Source organism: Homo sapiens, chromosome 12, assembly GCF_000001405.40.
Source record: "Homo sapiens chromosome 12, GRCh38.p14 Primary Assembly".
NCBI lineage: Eukaryota > Metazoa > Chordata > Mammalia > Primates > Hominidae > Homo > Homo sapiens.
The window spans coordinates 26,634,948-26,654,344 of NC_000012.12; the positions used below are offsets into that span (position 1 = coordinate 26,634,948).

Sequence of the window (19,397 nt, forward strand, 5' to 3'; positions counted from 1 at the left end):
CAGGTTCTTTCATTATATGATTACATAGATATTTTTAGTAACCTTAATTCCCTCAAGAAAAAAAATCTAAAAGACAGGTATAGCAAATGCATACTGAGAGCGGTAACTGGGAATGCTTGGGGAATACATTGCTTTGTTCTTTGATTGTTCCAGTGAGCCAAGCTCCTACTGCCCATTTCAGGAAAGTGAAAAGCAATAAGGAATTAACCAACCTAACACTACAGCTGTGCTGACCATAATTTAATTTTGCCCTATTCAGAAATAATTTTACTGTGGTGATCACACTATTGGGTTCAACAACCACTAGCAGCTACATGAATTTATAGCAGGTGTAAGAGATTTAACAGAATATTGATTGAAATTTACTTAAGTCTGCTGGTATTTATTTTATTTAAAGTTATATTTATTCTCTCTTTTTATTAGAAATGCTTTTCTCTTATGAACACATAAGAAAATGATAATTTGAATTTTCTTGTTGTTTAGATATCAGACATTTCTGAAACATTCTCAGCATTTATAAGAGATAACAGACACATTTGATTCTAAGAGTTTTGTGAATAATTGTTCACAGTCATTTAATTGTTCTATGACTACTAAAATCAGCTCAATGTTTTATCATAATAGAGGCCAAAAATGGATAATCCAAAAACTATTATTTTCCCTGAAACATATTTTTAATAGTTGGATTTGAATAAATGCATCTGCTGTTATAATAACTCATCTGAAACCGAATGATGTTCAACCATGAAGACATGATTCTGGAAGTCTTCCTATTTCCCATCCCAGCTTAGCAGCTCCTTATAAACCTGCCCTTGCTGGAAAATATCTTTACTTTCTAGAACTAGAGCAGTTTTCTATTTCAAACATTCCCTGGAGCAGTACTTCCTCCCAGTGGCTGAGGGTCTGGGTTATAAAAGGACTTTTCTGTATGCAAAGAAAACAAAAACATTAGCATAAGATCAAAGCCTTAATTAAGCTAGTAACCACAGAGCAGTAGGTAATATGGTAGCAACCTGGGTTAAGGGGAAGATCAAGATTAAACAGCCAGAGAAAGCAATTTTATCTAACCAGCAGTCCCAATTCCAAGTAAGATCACAGTATTTTGGAAAGCTGGATAGCTAGTTCTACGTAGTACATACATGCATGGTTTTTATTCCATGTGCCGAACCTACAGGGAACTTGCTATAACTTTGCCTTGTGTTCTTGTGTCCAGACGGTCACACAACTTGCTCCCTCACTCCTTTCTGATTTGTGGTGCAATGTCACCTCCATAGGTAGACCTCTTCTGGCCACCCTCTCTGAAGAACTTCCATCACTCTCAATCCATGCACCCCCTTTAAATTTCGGTCATGGCATTAACACTGTCTCATATCATATCATATATTTGTCTGTGTGTTTATTGCAGTCCCCCTCTCCAACAACATAAAACACGAGTTCCATGAGGACAGGGAGTCTACCTTTTTCTAACACCTGGAATAGTGTCCGATGCCCAACTCTTATTTAATAAATGTTTGTCAAAGTAACGCATGAATAACAAAGATTGGATAACAAAATGAACTATTAAAAATGAGAATGACTTATTGTAATAAGGTTTATATAAAAAGTTGGGTCTCATTAAAGGTACTTCATCTTTCATCAAGTTGAGTTTTTGCTTACTTTCCTTTATACTTCTCCCTTTTTTCAAAAAGCATACATAATTTCACATTACTTAAAAATTTATTAAAAGGAAAAAATTAATAAAATAGATACCAATGAGATAAGGGAAAATAATGAAACCTGTCTTTATCAGGGGCTTATCATATTGTGTGTACCTTGCTAGACCACAGGCCACATATACCCTTCACCTCATTGGATCCTCACAGCACGGTGGGGGTTGGGAGACGAATTCCAGTTTACATAGCTAGGAAGTGGCAGAGTCTCAAGTACACATCAACTGATCTCAGCATGAATCATGTTTTCCCACACCAGGTTGGTTCACTAACAGACTTTACAAAGTTCCAAAATTTTTATACTAGAATTCAGAAAGCCCTAATGCAATTACAGAAGAAAAGATTCCAATTAAAACTGTGTACTGAAAATGTAGAATTTCCATTAATCATATGATAAATTTGCTCACATTATTCTGAAGTGATCTTACCCAACCAGCTTTTATTACATATCATGTGCCACATACTACCAGTGGTATTTTGCTTATATTATACAATTTAATTTTAGAAGCAGCCCTTGTTCAGAAAGTATTCATAAAGTACCTAATGTTCATCTGGCTCTATACCAGGGACATCTCAGGTGGGAAGATATAAGAAAGGAAGAAGAATTTACAATATGGTCAGGAAAACATAAAATGTGCCCATAAAAAAATTAAGAACAAGTACAAGACAGATATGATGGTAGTAGTATAGCATGGACAGCACACAAAATTGCTTAGGAATTTTTTTTAACTGGGAAATTATCTTAGAGTGAGGGCAGTGAAAGACAGTTTCACAAAGGATATACAATTTTTAACGAGGTTTTGAACGAAGTGAAAGATTTAGATTACAGAAGTGTGATATTTGTCAAATCATGTCATCATCCTATGTTCAAAATCTTAATCCTATAAAATAGGTTGGGCCTTCTTGTAAGAATAAAATTATATAATATGTGCAAAAAAAGCCATGAACAATAAAAAAGTACCATATAATTGTAAGGTATTATTTCAAAAATGAAAAGTAGAGGACATCTGCATGCTTTCGCTACACCTCTGAAAAACAACTCTTCTCCATTTAATTATGTTCCATTATAGTGGTCACCACCTTACTAATGAATATGTGGTTTCATCATATAATTATAGTTCATAATGTCTTATAATACGGCATGATCAAAACACAATATTGACTCTAAATGGAGATGTCCTTCAGAAGAGTGTTTAATAAAGAATACTTAATGGAAGAAGCAGATAATATGATACCTAATTTTCTTCATTCTAAATAAAACACCACTGAATACAGTGTATTAATAGACTGCTTACAGATTCCAACTTTACAAGGGCTTAGAAATAGAACAAAACAAAAACCAACCAAAAGCATGTAACCAAAGTGTAGTAATGTTATTATCCATCTTTTATTGAATATCAAGTAGACTACTTAGAAGAAAACTGTTTTACATCCCACACACTAAAGAAGTGTTATTCAAAGGATTAACTGAAAAAGCAATTCATATAAAATAGTGGCTGTGTTCTGCATCTTATTTTGGATTTCATCACTGTCAAATATTGACAAAGTCATTTCAATATTCCAAATCTCAAGATTTCAATTTGCAAAACTGATCTTCAATGATTAATAGTTGGTAATGGAAGTAATAAATGAATGTACATGCTGTTTTCATAAGTGAAATGTAATTTACTTACAGTGAAATGCACTGATCATAAATGAAAGGTTTGAGCAGTTCTCATAAAGGCATATACCATACGAACCACATGCAAACCAGTTACTGAAAATTTCCATCACCCTAGAAAGCTCTCTTGTGCCCTTTCACAGTCAATTCCCCCCAAATTTCTCCCCAGCCCCACGACCAAAGGCAACGATGCTCTTGATTTCTCACACCACAGACACATGTATTGGCTAATGTAGAGTTTCATAGGTATGAGTTTGGTTAAGTGATTATGCCAAAGAATACTGGGTAACTGATCAATGTTAAAGCACAGAAGGGCCTTTAGTTCTTTGCTGCTTTGTTCTTGCCTTGACTAGATCAGTATTTTCGTCATTGACTTGGGTGAAGTCAGAGATAGCATGTTTCTCAAATGCAAAGATAACATGAAACAAGGGAGGATGGCTAATATAGTGAATGACTCTACCAAATTCCAAAACTACACAAATAGGAAGAAAATAACAGGTTAAATCCAACATGGTAAATTCAAAATATAAAAGGTGCTACATGCTTAGGGCCAAAGAAAACCAACTCAAGTACATGATGTGGGAAAATGTGATGTAAAAGAAAACAAATTAGAATTTTAGTTGAGTTCAAGTTTAGTAGGAATCAATACTATGTCATTGTTAACAAAACACTCATTTTCACCTAGGCTACATTATAAAAGGGTTCAGAATGAGGCGAATGTAGCCATCTTTGCTTCTGTGCCAGTCAAATCAGTGATAAATTAGATTGAGTCATAAGAGGAACTGCTACAGGAATTGCATAGGACTATACAGAGAGGAGGGGGGACGCAGGTGATGTGCTAGCCATTTTCAAGCACAGAAAGACCTGACATGTGGAAGGGATGTTGTATTTCTGTGCAGCTCAACAAGCAACAGAAGTAAGGCTGCTTGCTGGAAGTGAGAGGGAAGTCTACATATAGGATAACCAAACAAAAAAGACCTAATAATTAGAGCTATGAAAAATAAGAAAGGCCTACCCTTTGCGGAAGTAAAATCTTGGTCACTCTAGGTGTTCAAGGAGATCCTATGTGACCATTTGTAATGGGTGTTGCATGAAGATATGAAGCTCATATATTATATAGATAATTTATATGGTTCCTTTCTATGCCAGCATTCTTTTTTTTTTAAATTATACTTTAAGTTTTAGGGTACATGTGCACAACGTGCTGGTTAGTTACATATGTATACATGTGCCATGTTGGTGTGCTGCACCCAGTAACTCGTCATTTAACATTAGGTATATCTCCTGATGCTATCCCTCCCCGCTCCCCCCACCCCACGACAGTCCCCAGAGTGTGATGTTCCCCTTCCTGTGTCCATGTGTTCTCATTGTTCAATTCCCACCTATGAGTGAGAATATGCGGTGTTTGGTTTTTTGTCCTTGTGATAGTTTGCTGAGAATGATGGTTTCCAGCTTCATCCATGTCCCTACAAAGGACATGAACTCATCATTTTTTATGGCTGCATAGTATTCCATGGTGTATATGTGCCACATTTTCTTAATCCAGTCTATCGTTGTTGGACATTTGGGTTGGTTCCAAGTCTTTGCTACTGTGAATAGTGCCACAATAAACATACATGTGCATGTGTCTTTAAAGCAGCATGATTTATAATCCTTTGGGTATATACCCAGTAATGGGATTGCTGAGTCAAATGGGTCTATGCCAGCATTCGATAAGTTTGTGTTGGGTTCTAACAATAAGCCTTATCATAGGTCACCAGAGATTGTGAGAACTGGGGAGCCTATGCAAGTGTATTAACACTTGAAGACATCAGATGCTGAGGCTCAAGCAATATTTATAACTACAGAAAAATAACTGTAGTAGACAGCTTAGAACAACATGACCCTCTTCAGTCATTCTCATTATTTGTAAAGTCATTCTTAGGGATTGATCCTGCCCTATTAACTCAGTTAGGCAATGTGAGTAGAAAAACAATCAGCAAACCACCATGGCACATGTTTACCTATGTAACAAACCGCTACGTCCTAAACATTTATCCCAGAACTTAAAAAAAAATTTAATTAAAAAAAAACATATACTTAGAATGTTACAATCTAGTAATATTGTTTTGATTCAAACATATTTGTATAAAGCATATAATTTACATATATTAAATTCATTTCACTCAATAAATATTTTTGAAAACCTATTAGGTATATAGTAATATATTAGACATGGTACAAGTCCCCCATAGAACCAGAAATAGAATCTATTTTGATAATTTTCCCCCCAGTATGATACTCTCAGTCAATAAATCTGAATCTCTGTTATTGAATCATCTATGTAGTAACTCTAAGAACCATAGAGTCTTCTATAAGTCTATTGGAAAAGACAACCTTATGAAAAATAATCATAAAATTAAGAAAGACACAAGTATATATTTGAAATATTAGGGTCTCTAAATATTTTTTGTGCTTCAAATGCATAAATGCTTTATAAGGCATGTCACACACATTCATCCTAACGACAGTGAGATATGAAAGTATATCTGAGATACTCATATGAGTAGCTCACAGAAAGGTGTCGAAGGAGATACAATTGCTTAGTATTACTGGGGAAACAGCAGGAGACAGAGCTGGAGATGTCTAACTCAGATTATGAAGACCCTTGGGCACCAATTTAAAGAGCTGAGTTATTATTCTCTGGAGATGATGAGAGCTAAATAAAGAAGTAGAGTATGTGATTTAGAAAGATCCTTACGTTGGAATGTGGAGAAAGAGTCAAAACACAGAGTCAGAGAGAACAATCAAATTTATTTCAGGAAAGGAAGAGGAATACTTAGCTTCAAGAGATCTTTAGCTGGTAAAACTTTTAAGACTTGCAATTGAAACTTTTCTGAGACAAGCCAAACAACCATTCACAAAGGAGTGATTCTTTGTTTAAAAAAAAAAAAAATCTCTCTTTAATATGACCTGAAAAATAACTTCCAGCCAAATCAAAACTCTTTCGTAGATATGTACTACATTGTGCTGAACTTTCTTGGGAAACTTGGAAAAAGTAGAAAAGAGTCTTTGCACATGAGGAAGTCAACTGTGTATAAAGAAAGCAATAAAATAATAATAGAAAGAATATCAACTGTAAAGCTGTAGGTTTTTTTTTTAAAGAAGAGAGAAAAAGAAAAAGAAAAGAAACCTGAATTCAAAATTTCCAGCAAGCTACATACAAGCTGTATGATCTTAGGCAAAGTATATAAGCTGTTGAAAAGCTTATTTCCTGGACACAATCAGGACCATAATATCCGACACGCTGGACTGCAATAAGGATTAACAATAAAAATATGCAAAAGACCTAGAGGTGTGCTAGGTATTCTATATAAGTAATAGATACCTTTACATAGAAATCCCTTGCCTGATGTGTAGCCTGGCATCCGTTACATAGTTATTCTCCCCCTACTTTACTATGTGCATTTGATTTTTAAAAGGAACATGATCTAGTGTAGAGCATGTGTTTGACACCCTCTTGACACAGAGAAAAGCTGGGAGGTGGAATGAGGAGAGTCCTTTTAGGCACCGTTGACAACTAAAAGAAAGTCCAATAGTCATACAGATACTTTTTATAAAACTTATAAAAGCTTAGAAGGAAAAAACAAACAAACAAACAGAAAAGTAAAAGACATTACACATTAAGCCAGAAAGGGCTTAGAGGCACAGCCAGCATAGCACAAAGCTGGTGAGAGAACCAGCCTCAGGACTTCAAAATGGCACAGAAAAATCTTTCTCAGCTCCTGAGGAACAGCATCCTGCAAAAGGCTTGCTGCCTAGAGCAGGTTTCTGATGCCAGTGATTCTGGGGCACCTGGAAATAGGAAGCTTCTAGCCATTGTTTTCATGTCTAGAATTTTATTACATGTTTAAATGTTATAATTTATTTTTATTTTTCTCCATAATCTCTATTTCCTATGACACCTGCTATGACTTGAATGTGTCCCCCAAAGCTCACATGTTGGAAACTAGATCTCCAATGTTGTGAAGTTGGGAGGTGGGACCTTTAAAGGGTATTGAAGTCATGAGAGCACCACCCTTATGAATGGATTAATGGCATTATCCCAGGAGTGGGTTTTTTGTGAAAGAATAAGTTTAGCGCTATCTTGCTCTCTCACACTCTTGCTTTCTCTTTGCCCTCCCACTAAGAGATGACACAGCAAGGAGATCTTTGCCAGATGCTGGCCTCTCAACCCTTGGCTTCCCAGCCTCCGGAGCTGTGAGCAATAAATTTCTGTTCCTTATACATTACCCAGTCTCAGGCATTCTGCAAAAGATATTACTCATTAATCCAGAAAGGACTTAGAGGTGCAGCCAGCATAGCACAAAGCTGACAAGAGAACCAGACTCAGAACATGACAATGGCACAGAAATGTTCCTCAGCATCTGAAAAACAGCATTCCAAAAAAGGCCTGCTGTGCAAAATGGACCAAGACAAGATCTTAGTCTTGACCCAAAATGTTTCCAATCAGGGCATTTTCTAGGAAGATAATTGTGGTGGATGCTGTGATGCTCCTGCCCAGATTCCCTTTCAGAAGTGAAGGTCTACTCCCCAAGCTGCTGGAGTGCTACTCAGAAGACAGCACTCAACTGCCAGCCCCTGTGTTTGTGTCCCCCCGAAATTCATGCATTGAGATACTCTCTCCCAAGGTGATGGTGTTAGAAGTAGAACCTTTGGGAGGTGATTAGGTCATGGAGGAGGAGTCCTCATGAATGGGACCAGGGCTCTTTCGAAAGATGCCCAAGAAAAATTCCCCTTGCCCCTTTCCCCAAGTCAGGACACAGTAAGAAGGTGCCATCTGTGATCCAAAAAGCAGACCCCCACTGGACACCAAATCTGCAGGCACCATAATCCTGGACTTCCCAGCCTCCAGAACTGTGAGAAATAAATGTTTGTTGTTTTGAAGCTACCTAGTTTATGGTATTTTTGTTGCTGTTGTTATAGCAGTCCAAATAGTCTAAGACAGAAAATTGTCTTACGAAGAAGTGGGATGCTGCTATAACAAATATCTAAAATGTAGAAGTGCTTTGAAACTGGGTAGTGGGTAGAGGCTGGAAGAGTTTTCATGTGCATCCAAGAAAAAGCCAACATTGCCATAAACAGATCCTTAAGGATGATTCTGTGAAGTCTCAGAGGAGAGGAGGAGAGCTACAGAGAAAGCATGTAGCTCTAATACTTTTTGAATTCTCTAAGAGTATTCTTAAAGACTTCATAGAAGGTCACAAACAGAACATTGGTAGAAATATGGATGGTAAAGGTCATTCAGAGGAGGTATCAGATAGAAATGAGGAACATCTTACTGGAAACTACAGAAGAGCCATCATTGTATAAAGTAGCAATAAACTTGGCTGAGTTGTATTCATGCCCTACTGATTTATGGAAGGTAGAACTTGCCAGAGATGAAATTGAATATTTGGGTGAAAAATATGTAAGCAAAGTGTTGACAGAACGTCTGGTTCCTCCTGACTGCTTACAGTAAAATATGAGAAAAGAGAAATGCCTTAAAGATGGAATTGCTAATTAAAAAGGAAACGGAACTTGAATTTTTGGAAAATCCTCAGCCTATCCATATTGAAAAACATGAAAAAGTCTGTTTGGAAGTGTGGCCAAGTGACCATTCGTAAAGAGTTTACTAGGGATCAGGCATCTCAAGGGAAGCCAGATGCTATTTATCATGACAATGGGGAGATGAATTAGCCACCTAAAGAGAAGCCAGGACCTACTGTCCAAAACAATGGAAGAATGACCCCAGCAGATTTAGGAGATTATCAGGGATGCCCCTCCCATCACAGGCCCAGAATATAAGGAGCTAGCGGCCAAAAAGATTTCAAAGGAGGGGGTGCCACCTCACATCATGAGCTTCACTTTCCCATACCCTGTGACTGGGCTCCTAGGCTGCCCCAGGTATGGCTCCAGTGGACCCCATTACAGCATGCACTGTGTCCAGCAAAGCTGTGGGGGAGTTGAGTGGGGAGGAGCTGCTGCCTCCACCTGGATTTCAAAGGATGCCCTGGTGAGCTGTGGGGCCCAGGCAATAGAAAGCACCATCTATCAACCAGAAGCAGGCTCTCACCAGACACTGAATCTGCTGGCACCATTATATTAGTCTATTCTCACACTGCTAATAAAGACACACCCGATACTCGGTAACTTATAAAGGAAAGAGGTTTAATTGACTCACAATTCCACATGGCTGGGGAGGCCTCACAATCATGGCTGAAGGCAAAGGAGGGGCAAAGTCATATCTTACATGGCAGCAGGCAAAGAGCATGTGCAAGGGAACTCCCCTTTATAAAACCATCAGATCTCATGAGACTTACTCACTAACACAAGAACAGCACAGGAAGAAACTGCCCCCATGATTCAATTCCCTCCCACCAGGCCCCTCCCATGACACGTGGGAATTATGGGAGCTACAATTCAAGATGAGATTCAGGTGAGGACACAGCCAAACCATATCAACCATGATCTTGGACCTCCTAGCCTCCTGAACTGTGAGAAATAATTGCTTGTTGTTTACAAGCCACCCAGTCTATGGTATTTTTGTTACAGTAGCCCAGGCCGACTAAGACAACTAGTCTGAAGACAGGTACTTCAAGCACGGTCACTCACCCATTCCAGAGCTGCCTACGGGGACATAAAGGCTCAGCCCCCTCACCCTAATGGAGACAGCCCTGAAGACATCCCAACTTCAACCTCCCAGAAGCCTCCACTAAACTGCATCACAACCCAACTTCTCCCTTTCTCAATCTTGCTTTCCCTCCCATTCTACTGGTGTTGATCCTAAGAGCTCTCCCTAATAAGTCTTCTTCATGCTAATCCTCTCCCAGAGTCTGCTTCCTGAGGAACACAACTGGCAATACGTAATTCTAGAGTTGCCGAGAATTGTGGTCATTGCTGCTGTTATTTAAAAATCAGTGCAAGGATTTCAAGATGTTATGAGAAGTACATGCTCATCTGATACAATACACACAGACACAAAGGGACAAGAAGGAAACCTACCACTGTGGATGGGATTATACCCATGTTCCTGCCTTTTCTTAGAGTCTAAAGCTTCCCTTGACTTGAGTGTGTGATTTGGATGGCCAGAAGGTGTAGGGAGAAAGGAACCACATATGGAAGATGGGTAAGTGTGGGGAACATGGTACATAATGGAGATAAGATAGTTCTTTCAGAAACAAAGGGACTTCACTGAAAGCAGAGCATGGACAGAGGGAGGACAGACAGAATCGAGCCATCTCAAGAAGAATAAGCTTGAATGCCCAGAGGCAGCATGGTGCTGGGAAGTGCTAAGTCCAGAAATCGAGTTTTTCAAGTGATAAACGGTAATTGGTTGTGCCTTCCCTTTGCATGTAAACTTTGCTAACACTTCTTAGCACTGTGAACTCTACTGCAAACTTAACTGCTTTGCAGAGACCTGAAAAGAGCTCAGTCAGGTGAAAAATTCAAAAGAGATGAACACTGGGAAGAGTCTGTAATAGGACACTAGCTTGTACGTATGTGTTCTTTGGTTTTGATCCTTATACTAAACCCTTTTCTATTCTTTCTGATCCCCCATTTCCACATACACACTTTTTCATGGTCTCACCTCACACTCGGTTAAGTCTTTATTTTTCTCCCTTTCTTTCTTTCCTTTTTTTTTTTTTTTTTTTTGGTAAGATACTCTGAGTATATCCAGTGGACTAGGGCTTCTGGTTTCAGGACATTCAAGCTGGTGTCTTACAAAGAACAATCATAGCTATTAATCAGAAGATAAGCTTCACAGATATTTTCTAAAAAGGTTGTTTTGCAACACACATAAAAGAAGAACGCCATTCAATGAACGAGGAAGATTACATACTAATCTTCAAATAATCAGTTTTGAACTAAAAGAGATTGCAAAGATCATATTTAGACTAACCTCGTAGTTTTATAAAAGAAGAAATTATTTCCTGGCAGATTTTTTTTTTGTCTGCAAATATTTTCTTCCTTTCTCACCCATAAAGCAATATTTAAAAATGTTTCTGCCCCGCCCCTCTCATCTCAATTTCCCTTCTCCTTTTTAACAGTAACTATGCTGCCAGAAAAAGCACTTCAAGGTAGATAATGTGCAGTCCCTATAAAGGCAAACAAACAAACAAAAAATTAAACTGCACAAGCAAGTGGCTCTTTGCCAGGAGATGGAGAGTTGACATCCTCTTACTTTGTTCCCCAAATCTCCTAGGGCAAGGGGTACTCCTGGACATAGATAGATTCAAAGCACATCTCACTACCCTGCCTCCTGTCTCCGCCCTACCCTGGGTTGGGTCCACAGGGCTGTAAGTCACTCGGGACAGCAGAATTATTTTAGGAAAGGAGGATAATTCCAGGCTGTTGTGGTTGCCTGTATCTTATTCTCTAAGGCCAAAGGCACTTCATTTCCAACTCTGAATCCTCAAAGAAAAAGAAATCCTACAAATAAATGGAATTCTCCATTGAATTTTTTTTAAGTGACTCCTCATTTTCTACATCATAACATATATACCAACAAAAAGGATTATCTGGTTCCTGACTGGGAATAGGCCCACATTTCAGTGCTTAGCTATGGAAACTCCCAAGAATTTGAAATTGAGCAAAAGCAAAATGAGAGAAGCTATGAAGAAACTATTTAGCTCTTGGTTGGTCTTTTGGTAGTTTTCTATGATCTACTGCCTTTTCAAATTATGGTGAGTTCAAGGATGGGCAGGAAGACAACAGTGAAAAGAAATTGTAGTGGTGTCCTAGACACAGTAATTATGCCCAAAGTTCACTGAACGATGTAGACTTTATTGTTCCATGTTGGAGATCCAAAGTTGAACCCCAGTCCCGTTCAAACAGCAAGCACAGATAGGTAGAAGGATATTAACAGGATAACTAAATAACAAACCAGACCCAAACCATTTCCAGACTGTGTCCACTCCTCTATTCTAACCACATGCATATTCACATGGAGATGATACTCGAATGATTCAGAGTTATACACATATCATGCTGTTCCACAGAAGATGTGTAAGTGGGATTCACATTTGTCCTCAACTATTTAAGTGACTCTCCAGTAGAATAAAATATACCCATGCTGTTGTAAAAGAAAAAAGGGCTCTTAATTATTAGTAGAAATAGAAAGCTTTGGGTTGTATATCCTTTAGCAAGTATAAAACAGATGTATGCTTCTAAAAGTGAAATGTTTGCAAAGAATATGGAAAATATCCAGTTCATCAGCTTGTATGTGCATTTGCTTTTAACTTCTATAAGTGACAAAGAAGAACATGGCTTGCCATAATCCTTCTACTCAAAAGATCAATTACACTGAATGGTGCCTGTGCATTTAAAATCACTGAGAGCAAATCGTAAGTATTAGGCAAAGCAAATTGACTCAACCACACAGCCTCCTGGGAGCAAGTACATTTGTTTGAAAACAATATTTCTTAAGTAAATGTATAGCCAATGAAAGGTATTGGATTGATAGTCCTGAAGATCTGATCTTCTATTTCACTACAGTGAAGGCCACAGCAGTGCCAGCTCCCTGTGTCTCCATATGAGCAAGCCTCAATCATTTTCTGAACGGACCACCTTTAGGGTACAAAGATAAAAAGCTGCTTCTGAGCCTAGCAATTTCTGCTGAGCGTGCCAACTATAAGCCATTGTGACAGGGAGCAGCCACAGCCTGGAAGCTAGACGCAGACCCCCAACCAGATCTAGGATGAGGACAACTTACAATGACACTGAGGTGGGCTGCTGTGTGACCAAGGATGCAGAAGAAAAAAACTTCTGTAATTGCCACTTTCCAAGCCAGCCATCTCTACAACCTCAAACACTCATCACTGGCATCTAAAGCTACAGGATTTCCCAGAAAAAACAAATGAATGCTGTGCGTGCACATCCTATTTAAGCCTGGCGCCACTGAGGCTGGCAAAAAATGGAACTCCAGGAACTGTAAAGCCTTTTCCTTCTAGATATGCCTCCTCTTCTGCTCTCCTGCGTCTGACCTGCCAAACACATTTTTCTGCATGTCCAACCCCAACTGTGCTGGAGAAAAATTAGTAAGTGGGAAGTAAGGATAAAAAAGATGTAGTTCTAGTACACAAAATTTTCCTGACATGATATGAGCATACAGAACTGTATCATTTACTTAAAGGAACTGGTCTATCTAGCAACAATGTTTATAAAACCACTTTCTTTTTTTTTTTTTTTTAATTGTACTTTGCAAATGACTTCCCATTGAAGATAAAGTTTCATTAAAAGAGAAAAATACTTACAGTATGAGAGGAGTCCATATGAAAAAAAAAAGAAGAAAATACAATCCAAATCATTTAGATATCAAAGAGCCAAGATGATGATACAGAGTATTGTAATGTGGTAACATTGCTATGACTCCTAACAGTTGATCTTTAAAATAATATTTCTTTTTTTTTCTCTAGGTACTTTCCACAATCTGGGATTTCCTCTCTGGCATCGACCTTTGTCTCACCCTGCACCACAGGAATTTTTCCCATGCTTGACAATCCTATCTCCATATTTGGAGATTCCAGAAAAGTGTTTCTTCTTGCTTCTTCTGTTAAGAATTTATACAGTCTAACAGAACTTTTGTTAGGAATTTATAGTCTAAGAGAGAACCCAGCTATAATATTAATAACACATCTCCTAGTAGAGTTGTAAGATCATTCTTGAAGTTTGAATTGTCACCTTGCATAACATAAATCGTTTTCCTACCAGATTAATTATTTAAGTTCTTAACTTTTTTGTTTTAAAAAACTTTCAAATTTATAGAAAGAGTTGCAAGAATAGTACAAAGAACTCCCACATAGACTTTGCTCAGATTGATTAGATTCACAAATCCTGCCACATTTGCATCTGTCTCCACACACACCCACACACACACACACACACACACTCACACACACACATCTTTCCTGCTCTATTTGAAAGTTGGTTCTAGACATCATGCCCTTTCAACTTTCAATTCTTCAGCATGTATTTGCTAAAAACAAGTACATTAGCTTAGCTAAGCACAGTGCAATTACAAAAGTCAAGAAATCTAACTGACATAATCAATATTCAAATATAACCTGCAATCCATATTTCTACAATCCATTTTCAAATTGTATCACTTGTGCCAATAATATCTTCTATAGATAATATTTCTCCTAATCCAGGATCCAGTACTGAATTGCATATTGCATTTAGTTGTCATGTCTCTTTAATCTCCTTTAATCTGAAACAGTTTCTCAGCCTTCGACATTTTTGCCCACATAGATATTCTCTATTCTCCATTCAGCAGTCAACATGATCAGATCATATCAATCCCTTCTCAAATCCCTCCAGAGATTGCCCACCAAACTTAAAACAAAATTCTACCCTCCCTCACTCCATCAGTCTCCATATCATTGACCTACTTTATTTTTCTTCACAGCATTATCAGATGTTACAGGATAGATAGACTAGATAGATAGATAGATAGATAGATAGATAGATAGATAGATAGATAGATAGACAGACAGACAGATAGATAACCTGGCTGTTTCTCCTATTATAGATAGATAGACAGATAGATAATCTGACTATTTCTCCCAATAGGAGAAAGGAGAAATTTTGCCCATTTATTTATTAATTGTCTTCCCTGTGGCTAACAACTTTGTTTATCTTGTTCATTACTTATTACCAGTGACTAGAACTGTGTCTGGCATGTAGTAATTCTTCAATACATTCTTGTTAAATAAATTAATAAATTATTATCAGATTGCTGAAAGAATAATTAAGGTATCTAGAAGTCAGTGGAATTCACTAAAAAATATGAGAATTATAGAAATTAAATTTATGTGTCTTTGAGGGCAGATATAAACAGGACGGTGGAGAGAGCAAACAAGGTAACAACTTTTCCAAGAAAAAAAGTACTTTCCTTAGGCAAAACTATGGAAAGAGAAAAAGATCAGCAGTTGCCAGGGGATGGTGAGGAGGTGGGAGAAGGGTTGAATATGCAGAGCACAGAGAATTTTTAGGGCAGTGAAAAGATGCTGTACGATACTATAATGTTAGATACGTGTCATTATACATTTGTCCAAATACATAGAATGTGCAACACCAAGAGTGAACCCCAATGTCAACGATGAACTTTGGGAATAATGATGTCAATGTTGGTTCACTAGTTGTAATAAATGTACCCCTCTAGTGGAGGATGTTGATATGGGGACGCTATGCATGTTGGGGGGCAGGTGATAAATAAAAAATCTCTGTATCTTCCTCTTAATGTTGCCATGAACCTAAAACTGCTCTAAAAAAAAATGTCTTTAATAAAATACTCTTCATGGTGAAACACTGAAGGCAGATTGTAAGCAGTGAGATCAAAAGTCAGGATCAACTTCTAGCTTTCTAAGAATAATTTAGTTTAGATTGAAGATTGTAAAAGCATAACAAGCAGCTTTAGTATGGACATTTCAAGTGTTATGTACCCTCTGGGAGTGGTAAAAGGAGTCTCACTAGTGAGATTCAGGCAGCGGAATTAATATAGACCCCTGCATGTCCCTGCTCTTTGATTAACAACTACGGTTCTTGGTCTTTGCTTTTTCTCATTCATATGTTGCTCATAGATTTATTTTTATAAAATGTTCAATTTACATTAAAGATGCAATAATAGTAAAGAATATTCATATACGCTTTCCTTTTTTCTCCATTTGCTTTCGTGGTTCCTCTCTGAAACCCTTATTATTCTCTTTCTGAATGTATACTATATATAATCATCTTATTATGCTCTTAGAGATTACCATTCTGGATAATTACACCATGTAGATTCAGGTTGTCTTTTATTTCCAAATGTTCTCTTGGATTGCAATTTTAAATACTCATTCTGTTCCATTTTCTTGTTTTTCTTCTTCAGGGACTCCAGTTATTCATATGGTGGCTCTTCTTTGCCTTTCTTCCATTTCAGCCTCTTTCCCTCTCACCCTCATCACTTGTTTCTTTGGATCATTGTCATTCTCTTCATTGTTCTCCTGCCTTTCTTCAGTGTCACCTATTTGATTTTCCTTCAAATCTATTCTCTCTTTGACACCTTATAATTTAATCTGTATTGGTAAAAAATAAATGAATAAATAAAGCCAACCATTTTATTCTATTTCTTTCCTAAGTTCAATCAATTTTCATTTCATTTCTTCTTGGGTTTTGGTCCATTTCTGATCTTAGTTTTTGAATTTATGAATCAAACTGTTTTCCATAGTCCACTGTGCTTGAAGCTACTTAATTCCATTTAGAGTACCATGTTACAATATTCTTCTGCTTCACAGTTACTCTTCAGAGAGGAATTTCCATCCACTGAGGTGTTTAGATTTTTCCATTCTGTTTTGGTCTTACAGTGGTTTCACATAGTGATACCGATGACATTTACACATTCAGCAGACAGGATCCACAAGGAGCGGGTTTATAGGATCTCTTGTTCAACATCGCCCCCTCCTGTCAGAGTCATGAAGTGCAGTTTCTTTAAAATTTGGCTTTTGGTAGAGGTCGGTGGAGGAGTGGTATGTCCATCGATGTTTCAGGTTTCTTTTGTCTTGTGGTATTCTAGATCTCCCCATCTTGCCTCTTTTTCTTTCACCAAAAGACTCGAAGGGGTGCCCTTCCCTTACCTGCAACCTTGTTCATCCCTAGAAGCACTGCTTTTCCACAGCTGCTCCCTGTGCTATTTCAAGTCCCTTCCTTTTAAGTTGGTGCTCTTATCTACCTGGATACTTTTTCCATATTTTCACACCTAGATAAACTTTCTCTTTCTAAGGGTGATTTTCATACAATTTCATTTCATTCCCTTTGCACACGATCCCTTTTCTCTTCCCCAGTTTCTCCAAAAACCACTCACCATCCTCAAAGCTTGCAATGGGAGCTCACCAGGCAGCTGTACTAAAAATGAATGTTTATTTTTCTACTTACAGTAACTAGCATTTGCACTGTCCCCTCGCTTCTAGTTATGCTGAAGGTGAGGGATTTCTGTGGTTCAATTGGCTTCTTATTGATTTGTACAGTTTTTTGAAAGCTATAAAAGGAATTGAGATTTGGGCAGCAGCAATTAATTACTTCAGCTTACTGTAAGTTGCTCATTTATAATTCTTAACTAGGTATTTCTTCTTTATGTCTGAAATTAGGTTTCTGGTTTTGCCCTTTTAATACTGTAGTGGATGTTGTAGTGGATACTATTGTGCTCCACCCATGTCCCCTTTTCAGGGCTGAGGCTCTTATTGCCCCAGCTGCTGGGCATTCTTGTTGCTAACTATTTACAGCTGTACCTCTCACTAGGCCAGACTCTTACCCAATGTTACACAGCCCCCTCCAGGATGAAGCCAAGTAGCTAATAGCTGGCTGATACAAAGACACAAAGGGTGGCCCCCTTTGCCTTAATTTGTGACAATTCCAAAGAGCATCCCAGCTCCAAAACTCCCTACAGGATGAGCTGAGGTCTCAGTCATAACTGCATTGCAGATGAGCTCTGCCTGCACAGTCCTACCTTCCTCACTTCCTTACAGGTACATATCCAAGTGCACTCTTCGATATACCTTCTGCAAACAAGCCTCTAGATCAGGGTGTTTTTAGGGTATCCAACCCAAGACAATCGTCATAAAAACTTTGTATTGACTTATGAGACAGGCACTGTTGAAAGTCCATTGAATATATTGTATACATTCCCTCAATTCTTGCAAGGAAACTGTGAGAAGGATATTGTTATTACCATCTTCATATCTCAGATGAGAAAAGAAAAATCATAGAGAAGACAAGTACCTTATAAATGGTCAAGGCAGGATTTGAATACAGATACTCTAACTTGAAAACCCATTCTCTTATCCACTTCACTCCACAGGTTCCCACACTGGCGTGGCATTCACTCCTTCTCTGGCGTGATACTTTGGCAGCCCTTTCCTTGAATCTTTCTTTTTTTTTTTTTTTTTTTTTTGAGATGGAGTCTCACTCTGTCGTCAGGCTGGAGTACAGTGGCACGATGTCAGCTCACTGCAACATCCGACTCCCTGGTTCAAGCAATTCTACCTCAGCCTCCCGAGTAGCTGGAATTACAGGCACACGCCACCATGCCCAGCTAATTTTTGCATTTTTAGCAGAGACGGGTTTTCACCATGTTGGCCAGGATGGTCTCGATCTCCTGACCTCATGATCTGCCCACCTTGGCCTCCCAAAGTGCTAGGATTACAGGCGTGAGCCACCGTGCCTGGCCTTCCTTGCATCCGTCTAAGCTCTGCTGTGGAGCACAGCCTTCAAATCTATTCTCTCTTTGACACCTTATAATTTCATCTGTATTTGTAAAAATAAAAGAGGCTGAGGCAGGAGAATTGCTTGAACCACATGACCACAAACATCAAGATGTTTTCATTTTTTAACACAGAATATTTTCACAAGTGGCTTGGCTATAATGTTAGTTGCTAAAGATGGAATCTGACCTTATGAATTCATCTTTCAAAGCTTTAGCATTATAAACAGAGATGCATGTTTGTAAATCCACCTTATTATCACTCAGCCCTGTCATAGGAATTGTGTTCATATGCACACATATATTAGCAGGTACACAATAGCAACCCCTTCTCTGTAGTTTTGTTTTTTATCTTACTTCCAAGTAATAACAATGATATTATCACATTTCCCAAAATTCTTACCTCCATCTTGAAATTTGCTTAATCTTTCAAAGTATGATGACATGGGGGCCTGTACAATGTCTAAAATAGCCAGAAGTGTTCTTGTTAGCCTTAATAACTCACTGAAACTATAAAATCCAAAGTATATAAGATTCCGAGCCAAGTGGACCACCTTAATAAAAAAAAAAAAGCGGGGAGGGGGAGGGTGAAAGAGTGGAAAAAAAAATTGGGTACTGAAATAAACATTGGCTTTTTTATTATCTAAATTAGCACAGCAATTTCTAAACTTCCTAATTCTTTAACACCTAGGAATTAAAATACTTGCAAAAGCAACCACTTGAACTTTGATTTATTCAAGTCTAGAACTAAATCCAAGCAAGACTCAGAGTG

At 38.0% G+C, this 19,397-nt stretch overlaps 1 protein-coding gene across 8 annotated transcripts in view, besides 2 other annotated features; it reads right to left on the reverse strand.

The window, feature by feature from the left end:
* ITPR2 (inositol 1,4,5-trisphosphate receptor type 2) overlaps window positions 1-19,397 on the reverse strand; it is a 497,843-nt gene that overhangs the window by 299,596 nt on the left and 178,850 nt on the right. For all 8 annotated transcript variants that reach the window (XR_001748686.3, XR_001748687.2, NM_001414174.1 and 5 more), the window contains one exon: window positions 19,029-19,179. Coding sequence is in view for 6 of the 8 variants with exons in the window: in NM_001414174.1 (NP_001401103.1) it covers window positions 19,029-19,179 (151 nt within the window). In the remaining 2 variants the exon portion in view is untranslated. The remainder of the gene's footprint in view (window positions 1-19,028; window positions 19,180-19,397) is intronic.
* Window positions 8,765-9,456: an enhancer, noted in NCBI's record as "OCT4-NANOG-H3K27ac-H3K4me1 hESC enhancer chr12:26796645-26797336 (GRCh37/hg19 assembly coordinates)". NCBI's record gives its function as "activates a minimal SCP1, AML or CMV promoter by ChIP-STARR-seq in naive and primed H9 embryonic stem cells {active_cell/tissue: H9 hESC(naive and primed)}" and the evidence as "EXISTENCE:reporter gene assay evidence [ECO:0000049][PMID:30033119]".
* Window positions 12,804-14,003: an enhancer, noted in NCBI's record as "BRD4-independent group 4 enhancer chr12:26800684-26801883 (GRCh37/hg19 assembly coordinates)". NCBI's record gives its function as "activates an origin of replication core promoter dependent on BRD2, P300/CBP, MED14 and CDK7 cofactors, and independent of BRD4, by STARR-seq in HCT116 cells {active_cell/tissue: HCT116}" and the evidence as "EXISTENCE:reporter gene assay evidence [ECO:0000049][PMID:35650434]".